Source organism: Homo sapiens, chromosome 8 (assembly GCF_000001405.40).
Source record: "Homo sapiens chromosome 8, GRCh38.p14 Primary Assembly".
NCBI lineage: Eukaryota > Metazoa > Chordata > Mammalia > Primates > Hominidae > Homo > Homo sapiens.
The window spans coordinates 23,557,266-23,576,976 of NC_000008.11; the positions used below are offsets into that span (position 1 = coordinate 23,557,266).

A 19,711-nucleotide genomic window follows, 5' to 3' on the forward strand; every position below is an offset into this window, starting at 1 on the left:
AAGGCTGGTGGTTTTGGACGGGGAACGGGTGGTTTTGGACGGGTAGTGCCAACGGTTTTTGTGTGCGTGGTGCTCCTTGATGTGGTCTGGGTTTCTGCATTTGTAGTGTGTGCCTTCTAAGGATGCTGGAAGGTGAGACAGGGCTTTCCAAGGCCTAGATGGGGTTTGTGGCTTTACTTAGGAAGACAGTCCTTTCCATAAAGCGTGGTGCCAAATGCTTTTCCTCCTGGGCCTCCTGCTGTGATTTGTGGCGTGGAGTTTCAGTGAGGGAGGGCTCTGCAGGAACCAGCTCCTTGGTCTGATCCTTTCTGGACAATTGTGGATGGGAGTTGGCTTCTTGGTGTCTTGAGAGTGTCCTCAGCAGACCCCAGTGAAGCAGGAGCATAGAGCTCTGGATGGGCTCATGGTGGACATGGGAGAGCTGCTGGCCAGGGGGCTGCAGGGTGAGGCTTGGAAAACAGGGAGGGGGCTGGGCTTGGCCCCGCATTTTACTGTGGTTTATTTAGTGAATGTCAGTGCTAGCTGGGGACAGTTGACAGACAAGAGAAAACACTGGTTTGATTTTGAATTCTGAAGCAGACATTGGGCAGCAGAGGCTAACATTTGGCATTTATCCTAAACTTTCGAGGTGCCCGAGCCTTATTTCCTTTCTCTGGGAGAAAGTCTGGAACAGAGACGGTGCGGAGCAGCCTCTAGGGCTCAGCCCTGGGCCCCCCTGGAGTTGTGCTGCTCATGGTATCACAGTGCTTGTTTGTTTCCTGTTTGTATCCCCATTGCACCTGGCTCAAGGTAGGTGTAAGGCAAATGCTTTAGAATGAGCCAGTGAGTAGATTTCACATGATCGTCTCCTCAGTCCTAGAAATGCCACGTGAACTTCGAACATGGAAAGTTTTTTATTTTTGAGAGATTGGAGAGGTGGGAGTTACAGGCTGTCTCCAGGTCAGGCAGGGAGTCAGTGGCTGAGTTTCTGATGCTACAGATGGCTGGCTTGGGTGGCATGACCTCTGCAGGACCCCTAGAAGGGCCTGAGGCCCACTACCAGGCTCAGCTTGCCCCCTTCTCTTTTCTTTTTTGGTCCTAGGCCTGGATCAGAGGCTCCTTACCCACAGGATCTTGGACAAGTCATTTTCCTTCTTGGGCCTCAGTTTCCCATCTGAAAAGGCAGGGGCTGGGCTGGATGTGGTCTCCCTAGGGCCATTGTTGCTTCTGTTACATGATCCCGCCAGCTCACCTGGGACAGAACGTGCATTTTCCACTCTCCCTCCTCCCCGCAGTGAGAGAACGGGCCAGTGAGACAGGCCTTTCCTGTTTTGTCATCTTAGGGGAGAATTGGTGTCAGGGGCTGACCCTTCACTTTGTTCTAGCTTTGCTAGGAGTTTGTGGAGACAGTGGATGCAGATACAGACAGAGTTCATATCACTGGGAGTTTCACTGTCCTGGAGCAGATCTGGAGCTGGAGGGGACTTGCTCAGGTCACACTGGGAGTGGCAGTGTCAGGCCAGAGACCCTTGTCTCTTGATTCCCCGGGCAGGACACGTTTCTCCATCCTGCAGGCAGGTGCAGAGGAGGAATGCTTATTCATAGGCAGCACGTGAGGGCTCCTCTCAGCTGCTTATTTGGCACCCTCTTTCCCCTCCAGGGGCCAGCCACACAACCACCTGCCTCCGGCCTGCTCCCCACACAGTTGCCAGAGGGGTCTTTCTGACTCTCTCTGACACCTGGATGTTCTTGGCACTTGCTGCTTCAAGGGCATAGGTTCCCATTGGCTACGGCTGTGTTTTCACACGTGTGTTTGGTCAGGTGTCTCTGGTTATTAAATGAGACAAGGCTTGCATTGCTAAAGACAGAGGTTTAGGAAGTGCCTTGGAAAACCAAGTGAAACAGGTTTCTTTCCGGAAGGATTTCCCAGAGGCTTTAGTATGGTAATGTGCTTATGCATTTCCAAGAGGGGAGAACTAAAATGCAAACGTGGAAACTGATTTTACCGAACAGGAGGAGACTAGAAGCTAGGTCTTGGGCAGGAACTGAAACCTGGACAGGAAAAGAAATTTGTGAAATTCTCTGTCTCCGGTTGTGTGTGTGTGTGTGCGTGTGTGTGCGCGCGCGCGTGTGTGTGTTTATTTTTAATCTCTGCCCTGTCTCTGCATCCTGATTCATTCATTTCCTTTTTCCTCCTCTCCACCCTCACTTCCTTTTCTTGTATTTTTAAAAATTGTAGTAAAATATACATAACAAAATTTCTCATCTTACCCATTTTTAAGCATACAGTCCAGCGGCATTAAGTACATTCATACTATTACACAACCATCAGTGTCATGCATCCACAGAACTCTCCTCATCTTGCAAAACTCAAACTCCTGTACCCATAAAACAAGAACTCTCCGTCCTGTTCCCTCCTCACCCCAGCCCCTGGCTACCCCCATTCCACTTTTTGTCTACAAATTTGACTACTCTAGGCACCTCATATCAGTGGAATCATACAGTATTTGTCTTTTTGTGACTGGCTCCTTTCACTTAGCATGCTGTTGTCAAGAACTATCTATGTTGTAGCCTGTGTCAGAATTTTCTTTCCTTTTTTAAGGCTGAATAATATTCCACTGTATGGATATATTACATCGTGTTTATCCCTTCATCTGGTGATGGACACTTGAGTTGCTTCCACTCACTCCCAGATGTTTTTTCCCCTCTCTGATCCTCAAGGAATAGAAAATGCCCAGCCTTCATTTTTACATTTTACAGGTAGTGGAGCTTTAAAAAAGAGAGTACTTTGGGAGGCACAGATAGGAGCATCACTTGAGCCCAAGAGTTTGAGACCAGCCTGAGCAACATAGTAAGACCCAGTCTCTACAAAAATCAGCTGGGTGTGGTGGTGCGCACCTGTAGTCTGAGCTACTCAGGAGGCTGAGGTGGGAGGATTGCTTGAGCCCAGGAGGCTCAGGCTGCAGTGAGCTATGATCGTGCCACTGCACTCTAGCCTAGGTGATAGGTGAGACCCTGTCTTAAAAAAATAAAAATAAAAAATAAAAAAGAGACTAAATTGATTATTGTCTCTCTGGCTGTGGCCACTTCTGCCTGCCTTCCTAGCCGCCTGCCTTCTGCCTCTCTTGCCTCTCCTGAGGCTGCTGCAGGGTTGATCCCTCCTTGCCTCTTCCTTACACTCCTTCGAGGCACCCTGGTGGTTCGTTTCCTCCTCCTGTTATCATACACTTTCCTTGTTTTTCCCCATTGTTTTTTCTCCTCTGTATCCTGGTGCCAACCTCAGTGGGTGCTCCCTGCAGGCAGGTGGAAGAAATGATGGTGCTGCAGGATGAATGAGGCTCTGGCCCCAAACTTGGCTGCTGTGACTGCAGTGGTCCCAGCGGGGGCCTGACCAGGCCCATCTCTGCGCTTCTGGGCCACTTGCCTCTGTCTGGGGCTTGTGTCATTAACTAAGACCTGCCCTTGAGTAAACCACCCTGAGGACAGAGAAGTCCACTGAGGTGCGGTGACTGAGGCAGAACTCAATCTTTTAGAGGTTTATTCTATCAGGGTTGAGGATGCACCGGGGAAAAGAAACACAAGTTATAGTAGGATCTGTGTTCTGTGCTTTTTCCAAAGAGGGCTCTGGTAACGTCAGTATTTAAAGGGGAAAGAGCAAGCAGGAGGGAGAGAAGAAAAATAAAAGAAGGAAGGGTAGGCATTAGGCAAGTGGTACCATTCTTGTGAGGCTCTGATTAGCACTTAGTGAATCTGCATTTTACATGTGAAAAGAAGGGAGTTGGGGAAAGTGAATCATGGTCTTGCACTCAGTAAATCTACGTTTTACATAAGATAAAGTAAGCTTATGAAATTAGAGCTGTCTGTTTGGGAACAAAAAGAAGGTCAGTTTTTGCATGACTCACTTCCCAAGCTTAACTTTCTTTTTCTTTGACATAGTGAGTTTAGGGCCCTGAGGTTTTATTTTTCTTTCACAGCACAAAGATACCCAGTTGACCTTTTTTTTTCATAACAGAATGATGCATTTTGGTTCAGTAGTGTTTCCTCCAACTGCTCTACCCCTAATTTAAAAAGGGGAGGGGGTGAGAAATCAGTCCCAAATGTCCCTGTAAGTTTTGGTGTGATGCCAGCCTCCAACTGGCTGACATGAGCAGTTTTGTAAAGGAGAGACCCTCTTGATGGCTTCACGTATATCATGGGGTGGGATGGGGACAGTCATTATTGACAGCCAGCCTGTGCCAAGTGTTTCCCAGCAGCTCTCTGGGCGATTATTCCAGCCAAGGATGGCCATGCCCTAAGGTTAAGGAACCTGCTTGAGGTCCCAGAGCTGGAATTGAGATTGACAACCTCAGGCTGGGTGGCTGTACAGCCTGGGCACTCTCTGTGCCCCCTGCCCTCACTCAGCCACTCCCTCCATAGGTCACCAGGGGTAATTCCCTACTGCCCAGGCAGAGGGCTGGGGCTGGAAGGGGTCTAGATGGTCACTTAGTGGTTCCCCAAGCTGAGTCCTGATCAAAATCATCTGGGGAATTTTAAAAAGAAAAAGAAGACTTGAATCAGTGTGTGCTAGGGTGGTGTCTATGGATGGGTATTTTCAAACATTTCCCGGGTAACTCTGATCTTCAGCCCCTGCTCTGATCCTCCCTTTCATTTTCCAGTCCAGGACACTGGGGACCGGAGAGATGAGATGCCGTGACCAAGGTCACTGGGTTGTAGCCAGAGCCAGCATCAGGTCCAAAGTGCGATCTCAGTAGCCAGTTCTCCATGCTCTGTGTTTGTTCAGACTGCCAGCCCTGCTCAATGGGGCTCTGGAACTTAAGGAAGGCCTTTGACCATAGGCTGGGCTTGCAAAACCTTGGTAGGACCCTGCCCTTGGCTGGAAACCTCAGGGCTCCAGCCAGGGCTCATCCCCAAGAAGATACACTGCCATTCTCCAAAGTGTGGGGGCCTCTCCCCTGAAGGGCGCTGCCTGGAGCCACCTCTTGTTCACAGGCCCATGTTAGGCCCCCTGGGACAGGTTGCCTTGGCTCCATATGTGGTTCTGCAGATCACACCCAGGCTTGAGAAATGCGGTGACACGTGAACTTTGCATTGATGTGAAAAGGTCCAAATTAAAGGTGATGGCAAGCACAGCTAAGTCCAAGAAAGTGTGGCTCCTATTTAGGGGTGGTGGGCTAAGAGACAAGACACAGTACCCTTTCACCCCGGTGGGTATTCTAAGTTGGGTTAGTTTGTTCATCAATTCATTCATTCAACAAATATTTATTGGGTTCCCAATAAATCATCTTACTGGTCCTTGGAGATCTGCTGTGAACAAGACAAACACAACCCCACCTCTGTGGCCTGCACAACCCTGGAAGGTCACACACTAGAACCCTATCACTTGGCCTCTCCATGAATCACCGTCATGTAGCCCCTCGACAGGGGACTCTTGTGTTATTACTGACAATATTGATGGTTTTAGACACATATTATCCCATTTAATTTTCCCAACCATTCTCTCAAGTGGGGAAACTCAAACTTAGAAAGTTTAATGACCTTGCCCAGGGTCACACCATGAGTGATGGCATCTGAATTCAGCCCCAGTTCTCTCTGATTCCAAAGCTGGGGTTCTTGACAGCCACATTGTACCACCTGGTACCCTTGCTTTTTGTCAGGGGCAAGTATAAGAAGAAGGCAGGTGACACGTGAAGCTTTATTTGCTCTAAAACTTGAGCGATTTCATATGTCCTAAAGGAGGAGTTTTGCCTCTTCCTTCCCAGCATGAACACTTGGCATGGTGTGTACATCTTCATTCGTTTGGTCTGGCCAACAGCCACTCGGGAGCTGAATGAGGTGTTGTGACCATGACCTGGGTATTCTCTTGGTTCAGATACCTTCTTGGTTGGCACATTCACTTTCTCGTCCTTCCCTTGGTCTTTCTTGCTTATAATATATCCCTTTTTTAATTTTTAATTTTTTTTAAGACAGGGTTTTGTTCTGTCACCCAGGCTGGAGTGCAGTGGCACAAACATAGCTCACTGCAGCCTCAAACTCCTGGGCTCAAGGGATTCTCCCACCTCAGCCTCCCAAATAGCCAAGGCTACAGAGGTGTGCCGCCATGCCTGGCTAATTTCTTATTTTTTTGTTGAAATGAGGTCTCAGTATATTGCCCAGGTTGGTCTCAAACTCCTGGCCTCAAGCAATCCTCCTGTCTTGGCCTCCCAAAGCGCCAGGATTACAGGTGTGAGCCATCACACCTAGCCTAATGTATCATCTTATTAAATCAGATCAAATCCTTTTTGAAAAGACTTAAAATTGAAATCACTTTAAAAAACGAAAGGATGCAGGGCTACCCTCCCTGGGACCCTGGGGCCCAGGTGTCTTGGCAGCTGCCTTGGGCTGGGCCAGAAGATGTTTTTGCCAGTCTGTGGTAGGAAAAAGGGTGCAGAGTAGCGAGTTTTTAATAAAGCTAAACTGGCCGGGTGCAGTGGCTCACGCCTGTAATCCCAGCACTTTGGGAAGCCGAAGCAAGTGGATCTCGAGGTCACGAGTTTGAGACCAGCCTGGCCAACATAGTGAAACCCAATCTCTACTAAAAATATAAAAAATTAGCTGGGCGTGGTGGAGGGCGCCTGTAATCCCAGCTACTCAGGAGGCTGAGGCAGGAGAATCGCTTGAACGTGGCAGGCGGAGGTTGCAGCGAGCCGAGATTGTGCCACTGCACTCCAGCCTGGGCAACAGTGTGAGACTCCGTGTCAAAGAAAAAAATAAAAATAAAGCTAAATCTAATTTAAAGTACCATTTTATAATCAGAGGTAGTCTTCCTTACTTTTTTTTAAGCATTAAAAATGCCCTTTCTTTTACAAAATCATGTTTGTGGTGGAGGGCAGTGGTGATTGTTGCTTATATTGTTATTGTTTTTGCGTCCTTTCTGGGCAAAATAAAAAGTTTGCCTTGGTGTGTCCATTTCCTTTGTGGTTTTAATAGCTGGTGAAATCTGAACTATGAAAATGACCACTAATTCAGGTGATTGGTTTTCACCGTTCCTCCAAGCCCTGGGGTACCTGGGGCTCTCTGTCCCGGTGAGTGAGAGGGAGCCCCAGAGAGTCCTTTGCCCATCTTCAATCAGAGAAGCCCTCCTTTTTTATATGTAGGATTAGATTTTTTTTATGATTTTGTTTGGAGATAAAAGGATACCCCTGCCAAAAGTTGAAAAGCTTCTCCTCTAGGATGTGTGTTGGGGGGGAGTGGGGGAGGGAGGGAGTCGGGGAGGGAGGAAGGGAAGGGTGGGAGGAAGGAAAGGAGGGAGGCAGGAAAGAAGGAAGGGAGGAAGAAGGAAGGAGGGAATGTAGTGACTTTGGTGGGACTGAGCCATGGTGGATCTTCTACTTGGCGAGTATTTCTTGCCTATATACTAGTCAGAGTTCTCCAGAGAAACAGGTAATAGGATGTGTAAAGTCTACTTGGGTTTGTAAGACCAGCCTTTGGTTGAAGACCTTCCTTGGGTCCTAGCAGACAGAAACCAGGAGAGACAGAGACATCTATATCCGGCTACATAGAGAGGTTATCTGTCTAACTCTCTGCCTGTTCTCTATCTATATCTGTCTGTCTGTCTGTCTGTCTACCTACCTACCTGTCTCTGTCTGTCTGTCTGTCTACCTACCTACCTATCTAATCTACCTACCTACCTACCTATCTGTCTGATCTACCTACCTACGTACCTACCTACTTAGAAATTGAGAGATTTACTTTGAGGATTGACCCACATGATTGTGGGGACTAGCCAAGTCCAAAATCTGCAGGCTGGAGATTTAGGGAGAGCTGATGTTACAGTTTGAGTCTGAAGGCAGTCTGGAGGCAGAATTTCTTCCTTGAGAGAGACCCAGTTTTTTTCTCACGAGGCCTTCAGCTGATTAAATGAGGTGTATGTACCCACAGTATACAGGTTAATCTACTTTATTCAGAGTCTACTGATTTAAATGTTAAACTCATTTAGAAAATCCCTTCATACATACATCTAAACTAGTGTTAGATCAAATATCTGGGTACTGTGGCTCATCCAGGCTGACCCATAAAATTAACCATCACACCTGTGCAAGCGCTTTTCCCTCCTGGATGGTGTCCTAGGGATGACAGAGGAGGGGAAAGCCAGGTCTCTGCTTCAAGGAGACAAAATTATGCATACGAAGAAATTAAGAATGCTGCTGTGTCTGTGGAGTAGCCATTCTTTTATTCCTTTACTTTCTTAACAAACTTGCTTTTACTTAAAAAAAAAAAAAGAAATTAAGAACAAGACCATTTATATTTAAGTGCCAACTTATGAAATGTAAAAAGGGATTTAGAGGTGACAAGGCAAGTGAGGGCTGGAGGATTTGGAGAGATTTCATGGTGTAGGGACTGAATAGGAGCTTCCAGAACATGGAGGTTTCAGATAAGTGAGGACACAGAAGTCTTCACAACCAGAGTGGGCACCACAGGACAATTCTACATCTATCTAGGACTCTGAGTTTTTGAAGGGTTTCCATATGCATTGTTTGGTTTGCTGCTTGCAACAACCCTGTTGTTTTAACTGAAGGTCTTAGGGCCTAGGGATTCCCCAGAGGCCACACAACTTGCCAGTGGCAGGGGAAGGTCTTACTCTTCCACAGCCTTCTCTGTCTTTCTCCCTTTATGGAGCATAATGAAATGTACGTGCACACATTCATGTAGATTTCATTATGTCCATGTAGAATTCATTTTGATTTCAAATATGTTTCCTTCCCAGAGAAATCCTGTGAAACTATGACATTGTTTTTCTCTCTCTCCTTCTCCAGGTCTTATTTTCCTTCTTTACCATCCTGATTAACTCTATTTTTGTTTGTTTTCTCTTCTTGCCCGCTCCCAGACACGAATGCAGAGTTTGAGTCCAGATCCCAAAGCCCAGTACACAAGTATCTACGGAGCCCTCAAGAAAATCATGCGGACCGAAGGCTTCTGGAGGCCCTTGCGAGGCGTCAACGTCATGATCATGGGTGCAGGGCCGGCCCATGCCATGTATTTTGCCTGCTATGAAAACATGAAAAGGACTTTAAATGACGTTTTCCACCACCAAGGAAACAGCCACCTAGCCAACGGTATTTTGAAAGCGTTTGTCTGGAGTTAGAAAGTTCTCTTCTTCAACACGTCCCTCCCCAGGGTGTTCCTCCCTGTGACCCAGCCGCCTCGACTTCGGCCCGCTTGCTCACGAATAAAGAACTCAGAGTTGTGTGTGCAATGCACACCCAGACACACGCACGCACACACACGCGCGCGCACACACATGCTTTTTTCTGTTCCCCTCCGCTTTCTGAAGCCTGGGGAGAAATCAGTGACAGAGGTGTTTTGGTTTTATTGTTATGTGGGTTTTCTTTTGTATTTTTTTTTGTTTGTTTTGTTTTTAAACATTCAAAAGCAATTAATGATCAGACATAGGAGAAACCCTGAATAGAAACAAAACTTTTGAATGCTGGATTCAAAAAAAAAAAAAAGTTATCTGGACAGCTTCTTTGAGACTATTTAAAAACTGGTACAACAGGTCTCTACAACGCCAAGATCTAACTAAGCTTTAAAAGGTCAAGAAGTTTTATGGCTGACAAAGGACTCGCGCAACGCAGAAGGCCTTTCCCACCTTAAGCTTCCGGGGATCTGGGAATTTTACCCCCATTCTCTTCTGTTTGTCTGAGTCTCATCTCTCTGCAAGCAAGGGCTGAAATCATTTTGTTTGGTTGTTTTGAGGGAGAGAGGCGGGGTGGGGGGGTGCAAATCTGCCAGCAGCTCTTACGTAAGGCATGTTTTATTGGGGAGGGCTGAGCTTTTATTTTCTCCTCTCCAGTGGGGTTGGCTTTTATTGTTTCTTGTTTGGGTTTGGAATGGAAATATGGATAGCAGCATAAAGTACTTTTATTTTGACAAAATTCATTTTTTTCAACAATGGAGACATAGATTTGACCCACAATAACTTCTCCCCCTCTCTTTTTACTCTGCTCAAAAAGCATCTCTCCTCCCATTACCCAACCTTGGTCATAAGTGTGCCTGGCTGGTTTGCAGATATTTGTTCTGCTTTGTAAAAATTGGCCATTAGTGCATTTATTGAGATGATCTCTAAAGAGCTATGCCCTGACCTACCCCTGATTCTATGACATTGGGGCCCTTCTTTTGCTGAAACTGCCTTACGTAATGGTTTTACTCCTTGAAAGAGATTTGACGGAATCCATTTTATGCCAAGTGCTGCCCTGCACTGTTTCTGCAATATGTGGTGTATGCTGTGGTGATCTTGCTGGGAATGATTATAAGTGTGTGTGTGGTGGGGGAGTGGGTATTACATGCATTGCTGAAGAGTCATCCTGGTGTTCCTCATTCCTCCCACCTTCCCGTGGTCATTTTAATTACGGGGCAGTGTCACCGCAAAGGGAGGAAACTCAAAGCCGAAAGCAAAATTCCAGGCCTGATTCTGGCTTTTGAGGTTCCTGGTTCTTGAAGCCAGGCCTGACCCGACTCTCAGATGGGGTCAGTCCCGTCGCTTTGCAGACTGACCCTGGAAATCTACAAAATGCAGATTTTCCTGATTTCCTCTTCTCTTGCCCAGTTTTTTTTTTTTTTTTTTTTTTTTTTTTTTAAAGCCTGGATTGTAACCAGATTTTCTTTTTTCCCCCTTCTCAGCTGTAGATATGATATCTCCTTTCAGGGCCCCAGCTTAAGGGCAAAGTGAGTTAATGTGTAGACAAAGGCGAGGGACAAGAGAGAGTTAACATCTAGACAGTGGAAAAAGCCATGGTGTGTGGTTTCTGGGAACCACCAACACTTGCAGGTTTAGCTTTTTCCCAGGGTTGACTACAAGAAAGAAAACCATGTTTTTGCAAGATTAAAATGTGGTTGAGTGTGCCTAAATTAACCATCCCCATTTTTATCATATTTCCACCATCACTTCAGGGTTTTAAGAGTCAGTGCTCACCTGGGCGGAGCTGGTAGTACATTTTGCTTCTTAGAAAGCTAAGTCCTGGGTTCCGTCTGATTTTAGGTTCCAGGAACTTCCTGAGAACACCCGATCGCAGAGGGTAATTTTCTGGAGTTTGTTTTGCAGGGATAGCTGGGAGTATGGCCACCCTGCTCCACGATGCGGTAATGAATCCAGCAGAAGGTAATGTTTCATGGTCCCAGGGAGGGGCAGTAGGGGATGTGCAAAGGGGCACAAAAAATGGTTGTGGGAGAGTGGAGAGGACTGAAGGTGGGCAGAGCGGCTCCTAGTCTCCAGTCAGAGCAGACAGGAGAATTGAATTTTTTACTACGTTATCAAAGGCCTCAAGAAAGGACGTGAACATAAGAGTTTTTGGTATTCCTGTGCTCGGAGCTACTCAAAGTGTGTTCTACAGACCAGCAGCATCAGACATCTTGAGGGGTGTTGGAAATGCTAATTCTGAGGCTGGGTGCAGTGGCTCATGCCTGTAATCCCAGCATTTTTTGGGAGGCCGAGGTGGGCAGATCACTTGAGGTCAGGAGTTCGAGACCAGCCTGGCCAACATGGAGAGACCCCCATCTCTACTAAAAATACAAAAATTAGCCTAGTGTGGTGTGTGCACCTGTAATCCCAGCTACTGGGGTGGCCGAGGTGGGAGAATCGCTTGAACCCAGCAGGCAGAGGTTGCAGTGCACCGAGAGTACGCCACTGTACTCCAGCCTGGGCCACAGAGCCAGACTCCATCTCAAAAGGAAAAAAAAAAAAAAAAAAGGGAAATGCTAATTCTGGCCGGCATGGTGGTTTAAAACTGTAATCCCAGCACTTTGGGAGGCCAAGGCAGGCAGATCTCTTGAACCCAGGAGTTCAAGACCAGCGTGGGCAGCATAATGAGACCCCGTCTCTATGAAAAATACAAAAATTAGCCAGGTGTGGTGGTGCATGCCTGTAGTCCCAGCTGTTCGGAAGGCTGAGGTGGAAGAATTGCTTGAGTTTGGGAGGTTGAGGCTGCAGTGAGTCGTGATTGCACCACTGCACTCAGCCAGGGCGACAGAGCAAGACTGCCTCAAAACAGAAAAGAAAACAAAGGCTAATTCTCAGGCTTTACACCGAACCTACTGGATCAGAATCCCTGGAGCTAGGGACCAGAATCTGTTTATTGGTGATTCTGTTGCATGCTTTTGCACTATTCTAAAACCTATGTGTGCATACACACACACACACACACACACACACTCACTCTCTTAGCCCTTGTTAACCCTTATCGATCCTAGACAAATGTATGGGGAACCCATCAGAGGCTATTCTTTAGGGCTAGTGTTCAATTTGACTGTTTTTAATATGAAAGATTATGGATCACATTTCAAACAGATGTGAACGTGGAGAGAATAATACGATGTACCGCAGTGTGTCCATCACTGTTCTTCAGAAATTCACATTGGGTCATTTTGTTTTAGCCATCTCTTTCCACATTATCTTCTTTTTGTTCTTTTAAATTTCGGGGGTAATATGAAGCAAGCCTCAGCTGGGCAGACCAGAGTCTGTTCCCTTTTTATATATCCCGGCGTCTTAGCCGGGTACTCGTGTCTGAATAGTGAGTACCTTTTGGGCCTGGCACTGGGCAGGCCTTCAGCTGGGTCATTCTCTACCTGGCGATGGCTTTAGGTGAGTTGTGGAGCTCTTTTCACCTTTTTGCCTCATCTGAAAATAGTTCCTGGCCAGAAGGGAGAATTGGTGAGAAAAGTTTCAACATTTTAAGTCTCATGCTATAAGTTTGCCTGTCTTTTGTCTTTCAAGGTGAAGCTATTAAATTTGTTCTCAGCTACCCTCCATGTCCTAGCAGATAGAGGACTTGGTCTGACCTTCAGGGTTGTGATGGGGCAGGTTGGGAGGTGGGCGGGGAGTCTCTGTGGTCTGGGTGCTGAGGTTGACCCGATGGGCAGGTGAAGAAAATCACCTTCTCCATTCCCCTTGATTTCTTTATCGTGTGCCGCACGAGGCATGCTGAAGGGACACACACCTTTCCCCCTTTTTATTTACAAAGTAGAGAGCTGAGAAAGACAGCTCATGTTCTGTTTTGTTTTGTACACATTATCTTTCTCAAGAGATGTGATGTCCTTAAGTAAACTGACCTGCCTTCATGGCTTGTCCTGTAATGAATGCGTTCAAGACAGTGTTTTGGGGACAGGAAAGAGGCATTCTTAGGTAAGCGGTGGTGGGGGGTGGGGTGGGGTGGAGAGGAAACCCTTCTAGGAAGTAGTTCAATGAAAAACCTAAAAATGCCCAAATAAACATTCGCTTACATATTATATATCTTGGGCTTCTTTTTATGACAGTTCATTCAGGGACCCAGTCAGTAAACAGGTAGTTAACTTCGTGTAACCAAGCAAGGGTTTTGTTTATCTTTTTTAAAGTAGAAAAAAGTGAGGCTCAAACTCTCTCTTTCTCCTTGTCATAACTATTGGTTTACAGTCTTTATTTGTTTAAAAGTAAAGCACATTGTATGTATTTATTTGGCAATACATGAGGCCATTAAAACCCTGAGCCTAAGGTACCACAGTTAGTCTCATTTGCCTCTTGTCCTGTGAACTCCACTTAGAATGTCATTGAACTTGGGCAGACATAATTCTAGTGTCTGTTCCAAACGCACTGTGTCACAGAAGCTAGAATTACCATTAGAGGCACAAACCCCTGAGAATACACAAGGGGGCACGCTTCCAGTAGATGTGTTGGGGAAGGAGGAGGGCAGAGGGGACAGGGGACAGGATTCAGCTTTGTGGTGGGTCCTGAGGGTTCCTACCAGGGGTAGCCAGGATCTGGGAAACAGATCAGCGACTCTAGTCTGAAGTGGCTGCCTGGTTCGGGGGCTGCCTTCAGCAAGATTCAGGCAGGAGAGACGGAAATAGCCACCTTCCAGGCGTGAGTCCTGGAGATAAAAATGGATTTTAACCTAGGACTGCCGGGAGCTGGCCCTCCGCGGCTGCTCAGACTAGGGCTGTGTGTGCTGGCTCTCGCCTGTTTCCGGTGTCTAACTGGCTTGTTTCTCTTTATGGCTTGGCTTCATTCCGACCTGGGGTGGGGCCACATCCAACCCACTGCCCACTGGCTGTCCGTCTGGCCTGCCCCGCGGTTCCAACCACAGTGGTGAAGCAGCGCTTGCAGATGTACAACTCGCAGCACCGGTCAGCAATCAGCTGCATCCGGACGGTGTGGAGGACCGAGGGGTTGGGGGCCTTCTACCGGAGCTACACCACGCAGCTGACCATGAACATCCCCTTCCAGTCCATCCACTTCATCACCTATGAGTTCCTGCAGGAGCAGGTCAACCCCCACCGGACCTACAACCCGCAGTCCCACATCATCTCAGGCGGGCTGGCCGGGGCCCTCGCCGCGGCCGCCACGACCCCCCTGGACGTCTGTAAGACCCTTCTGAACACTCAGGAGAACGTGGCCCTCTCGCTGGCCAACATCAGCGGCCGGCTGTCGGGTATGGCCAATGCCTTCCGGACGGTGTACCAGCTCAACGGCCTGGCCGGCTACTTCAAAGGCATCCAGGCGCGTGTCATCTACCAGATGCCCTCCACCGCCATTTCTTGGTCTGTCTATGAGTTCTTCAAGTACTTTCTCACCAAGCGCCAGCTGGAAAATCGAGCTCCATACTAAAGGAAGGGATCATAGAATCTTTTCTTAAAGTCATTCTCTGCCTGCATCCAGCCCCTTGCCCTCTCCTCACACGTAGATCATTTTTTTTTTGCAGGGTGCTGCCTATGGGCCCTCTGCTCCCCAATGCCTTAGAGAGAGGAGGGGACGGCACGGCCGCTCACCGGAAGGCTGTGTGCGGGGACATCCGAGGTGGTGGTGGACAGGAAGGACTTGGGAAGGGGAGCGAGAAATTGCTTTTTCTCTTCCTCCCTGGGCAGAATGTAGCTTTTCTGCTTCACTGTGGCAGCCTCCTCCCTGGATCCTTAGATCCCAGAGGAGGGAAGAAAATTTGCAGTGACTGAAAACAGTAAAAAAAAAAAAAAAAAAAAAAAAAAAAAAAAAAAAAAAAAAAAATTTATGTATATAAAAGTTGCATTACACAGTACAAAATAGATGGATAATGTTTATCCTTTATTTTTCTATGTAGAAGTTTTTGAATTTGTGTGTGTGCTTGTGCGTGTCTACACCTAGTATTACGGCTGGGACTCTCCAGCTGTTTTTGTTGTTGTTATGTTTTTAAGAGGGTTGAATTCTTCCATCAGGTGAACGAAAAAGGCAACAAAGTAATAAATCAGTGAATGTGGCCGGCAGCTGTGTTTAGCCCCTCCAGATGGAAGTTTCACTTGAATGTAAAATAATAAAGTTTATATTTTGAATTTCTCTTTTCATGGGGGAAAAAAGGTACGTTAAAAAAATCAAAATAATGATATGTCACTTGCAGCTACCTTTTTTTTTCTTTTAAATTCAATCAGCCACCTTCATGTGCCTTTTTCCTTTGTCTTTCCCCAAAATTCCAGGACCAGAGATCTGGCCCTGGCCTATTTTCTCTTGCTGTGTACACACACGCACACATGCTGGGTGGCAGGATCTCGCCCGCTGGAGGGTGGTGGAGCCCAGTAGAATTGGGGTGACTGGGCATAAACCTGCTGAGACTGCTTCCTTCCCTGGTTGTGAGTGATGTGAATGCCTGCCTTCCCCGGTCAGCACTTAGAAGCCCTTGATAGGCAGCATTTGGCGACTTGTGGGGCAGGTGTTTGGGATAAATCCTACCTTCATCCTAGGACTTATTTCTGCATCAGCCTTTTAACTCAGGCACTTCAGGTAACGTGATCTATGTGTGTTTTGACTGAATCTCATCTCCTGTGTTTCCCTGTGCAGTCTAGGGAAGCATGTCTCCAGTCTTTGTCCCTGTCTTGTCCCAACCATTAATTCTCATGTCACAGCTTCTCACTGCATGTGACAAGAGCCAGGCCTATCTGCTAGGGCCCTGCGGCTGAGGTCTGACCTGGACCCTCATGCCCGAGTCGGAAGACCCCTCTCCAGAAGCCATTCTGCATCCTTGTCTGCTCTGCGTCACCCGAGAACACAGGCTTCGCAGCCTCGCTTTCTGAAATGGTGTGTGCCGAGTCAGATTGCCGCTCAGAGAAAATACAAGCCCGTTTTCCCTAGCTGTGCCATTTGGTGCTCTGCCAGGCTGCCGTGCAAGGGAATACCGACGAGACGAGCTGCACTGTCTCTGATTTGGAGCCCTCACCGGAGCTTGTCTTTAAAAATGAGCAGGAAGCTCATGTATGTTTGCATTTCAGTGAGCCGGGTCCTGACCTGCCGCCACCCATCACGGTCAGCGTGGTGCATCTTACCGAGGAGGCGCAGGCCTGGATTCTTTTGAGTGGTGCTACTGCCTAGGAAGTAACACGTGGAGAATTTCCATCTTGGGACCATGCACACAGTGCCTTGGGGAGTAGATTTTGCCCTAATAGCGATGAAGAATTTTATCAGTCAGTGGAGTTCCTTTTTCAGATCAGGGATGGGAAAGAGCCAAACTGGGTACCTCCCACGTGTGCCCCGTGAACAGCCCTTTGCAGCTGGGCTGTGGGGCTTGGCTGCTGCCCTGTCCCATCTGGCAGTTAACGCCTTCTCCCTGCTCTGCCCCCCACTCCCCAAAACCAGTTGCAGCCTCAACCCACATGGGGATGTAGAAAGCCGTAAAGTCCACGCTACTGTTGAAAATGTTTACATCTCCGCTCTCAACCTGCCTTGGGTTCGTGTTAAATGGTGTTAAATTCTGCAAATGGAGGGGAAAAAAATCAAATTCTAAATTTCAAAGTAGAATTTAAAGCAAATTTGTAAAAAAATTATCCTACCACCCCTTTTGGTCCACTTAAGATATGCCACGCTGAAGCAAGGTATTTCCTACTGGATTTTGCTTTCACTGGTGTTTAGAAAATAAACTTGATTTCTCTAGGAGCACTCCTTTGGTTAGAGGGATGCAAGAAGGAGAGGTGAAGGTGGCGTGTGGTGGCTCATGCCTGTAATCCCAGCACTTTGGGGAGGCCGAGGCAGGCGGATCACTTGAGGCCAGCAGTTTGAGACCAGCCTGGCCAACATGATGAAACCCCATCTCTACTAAAAATACAAAAAATTAGCTGGGCATGGTGGCAGGCACCTGTAATCCCAGTTACTTGGGAGGCTGAGGCAGGAGAATTGCTTGAACCCAGGAGGTGGAGGTTGCAGTGAGCTGAGATTGTGCCACTGCACTTCAGCCTGGGCGACAGAGTGACTCTGTCAAAAAGGAAAGGCAAAAACCGGACCCTGGAGCTCTGTGGGCCCTGATTGCAGGCCCCTCCCTGTGTGATGAGGGATGAGTCAGCTTGGGGAGCCACTTGGCCAGCCTGCATGCCTGGTCATCAGGAGGTTGAGAAAAGCCTTGAAAGTTGTGAAGCACTGAGCAGATACAAGTGTTTGTTAATTTTGTAGAAATTAACTTTCCCATCTGGCCTTTATCTCCAAAGTTGGTATTGTTGCTCCACGCAGACTGCAGTCCGGTTTCTTATTGTGACTTTGACAATGCAAAGTGCAAAATAGGAAGAGGCCTCCCCACCCCACTATCCCACCCTGGTGACCAATTCAGTGTAACCTTTGCACGTACTCAGTCATTGGTGTCTTTGGAGTGACATCTGCAGCCAGTTAGTGCCACCTGAGTACAGCACTCGTACTTTTACATGATGTGTGTGTGAGTAGCTCTTCTGTCCAAACCATGATTTGAGGTTCAACTACCTGTAGATCAAAGCTTTATTTTAGAACGATAAACTGATTTTTTCCAAATGGGTGAAATCTTCTCCCCATGACTATGTTTTCTTAACTTTGCATTGAATCTATTTACTGGGTTACATTCTATGTGTAGTTTGCTTTCTTCATTTTTTTTTCTTTTAAAATGCTCATGTCTTATTCCAAGCACCTTCCTCCAAAGTCCCCATAAAGCTGCATCTCCAACACATTGTTATGCCAATAAGGTTTTATTTAACTTTATTTAAGGATGATTGTGTCTTTGAATGACAAATGTACTGCTGCTTCCTACCTGCAAGACGAACAATGTATGTTTCAAGGGTGAGCAAGTGTTATTTCTTAAATTTCTCAAATGCCTGTAGTAACTATTGTTTCTGCCTCTCAATTGTTGCCAGCTCTTTGAAGAAGGGGAGAATTGTGTGTTTTTGTGTGGGGATGTTTCTGATATGCTGCTACAGTTGCAAAACACTGGAGCTAGAGAAAATAAAGTACTGATCTTCGAAGTGTTGTGGGCTCTGTGGTGGGAATCCTGAAATGAGAAGGGAGTGGATGGCAAGAGGGGACGTCCTTCACGGGGCCTATGCTTGTTCCTCTTGAGCACTAAGGACCAAGGTCTGCAGCTTTGATAGGAACAGCCCCTGCAACCCCATTTCCCCAGGGCAAGCAGATTGATGGTGGTGTTTGCATTGTCTTGCTGGGCAGGAGCGGGAGCCCTCCCACTGGCTTGGCTCACCATGCTGGCGAGGGTGGCACTTTTCTTTCTCATTGTGAGAGCCTGGCTGTGTGTGGCAGGCTACAAGTGGTTCTTTGGAACGTGCTGTGCTCATGCCTGTTTTCTCTGTCTTACACCTCAGCTTAAGCAAGAGAACGTGACCTCTTTTGGAGGTGGGAGGAGGGAAGGTTTGGACCCCTTTGAGAAGCCAGGGATGACTCTGATGCTTCCCACAAGTTTGAAAGTCTGAGCACCCACCTTCAGTATGACCACTGAAGCCCTTGGCCTGCCATGGTCAGGGTCAGAATTGAGGTCAGGCCTGAGACCTGGCCAATGCAGGGGTGCCTGGAGGTGGAAAGGGGTGGTGGTTAGCGGATGGGGAGCGTTGGGATAAACTCCCTGTTTTGTAATTTACCTATGGCCAATGCTGTGCTACTCCAACTTGTGGTTGCTTCCCCTCCTCTGGGGTGGGCGGCACAGCTGGTCTGCTTCCAGTAGATATGGATTCATTCAACAGATATCCCCCCTCTCCCTCCACCATGGAATCAGTCAGCCAACAAATTGGCTGTGCCTCCCATGAGCAGAGCCTCATGCAGGTGCTGGGGACAGAATGAAGTATATGATGTGGTCCCTGTCCTCGAAGGCCTTACAGCCTAGTAGAAGAGTACAAGGGGAGATGCAAACTCCTTAAGACAATCAGATCTTGACCCATCAAGATGGTAGCAAAGTCAGCCATGGAAGCAAAACAGTAGCTTTGTGCCCATTAGACCAAGCTTCATGAGACAGTGGCCTTGTCTGTCCTATTTGCTGCTTTATTCCCAGCCAGTGGTGTGCTGGGGCTGGCCCTGCACCAGCTCTCTAGGTTGTACAGCGCACATTCCTTCCCAGCTTCACATTCCATATTACCATGTTGGTAGCTTGAAATCAGCAACAGTGGGAATATTTACACCACAGAAATCGTCAAGCGCTACTTATCAAGGCCTTTGCTTTTCCAATAGCTGGTTCATCAGCACACCACTGCTGGCACATAGCATAGTGCTTGGTATGTGCTAGGTGTTCAGTGAAGATTTGCTGAGAGGAAAATATGAAAAGTAGAACCCAGTGTCAACCTAGGGGGCCCTTCTGTGGTGCCCCTCTTAGTTTGCCACCTGCCTCCTCATGGAGGCATCTTTCTATCACTCAAGAGCCCTCTCCAGCACGACCACATTCAAATTCCAGCCCTAAAAAGGCCATGAAAGGAAGGTATACCTTTCCTCTAGGGGCAAGGTCTCCTTACTGAGTTGCATGTTTTCTAGTTATCAGCT

General features: G+C 47.5%; 1 protein-coding gene across 6 annotated transcripts in view, besides 2 other annotated features; it reads left to right on the forward strand.

The window, feature by feature from the left end:
* SLC25A37 (solute carrier family 25 member 37) overlaps positions 1–18,198 on the forward strand; it is a 46,508-nt gene extending 28,310 nt beyond the window's left edge. For 3 of the 6 annotated variants that reach the window (NM_001317814.2, NM_001317813.2, NM_016612.4), the window contains 3 exons: positions 8,843–9,071; positions 11,057–11,113; positions 14,070–18,198. In NM_001317814.2, coding sequence (NP_001304743.1) covers positions 8,849–9,071; positions 11,057–11,113; positions 14,070–14,590 — 801 coding nt within the window. In that variant the 5' untranslated portion in view covers positions 8,843–8,848 and the 3' untranslated portion in view covers positions 14,591–18,198. Of the gene's footprint in view, positions 1–8,842; positions 9,549–11,056; positions 11,114–14,069 lie in introns of all 6 variants that reach the window. The other 3 variants (XM_011544550.3, XM_006716352.4, NM_001317812.2) reach the window with 2 other exon arrangements.
* Positions 1,711–1,800: a silencer, noted in NCBI's record as "silent region_19027". NCBI's record gives its function as "represses an Ori minimal core promoter by ATAC-STARR-seq in GM12878 lymphoblastoid cells {active_cell/tissue: GM12878}" and the evidence as "EXISTENCE:reporter gene assay evidence [ECO:0000049][PMID:35858748]".
* Positions 2,111–2,170: a silencer, noted in NCBI's record as "silent region_19028". NCBI's record gives its function as "represses an Ori minimal core promoter by ATAC-STARR-seq in GM12878 lymphoblastoid cells {active_cell/tissue: GM12878}" and the evidence as "EXISTENCE:reporter gene assay evidence [ECO:0000049][PMID:35858748]".
* Positions 18,199–19,711: the final 1,513 nt, after the last annotated feature.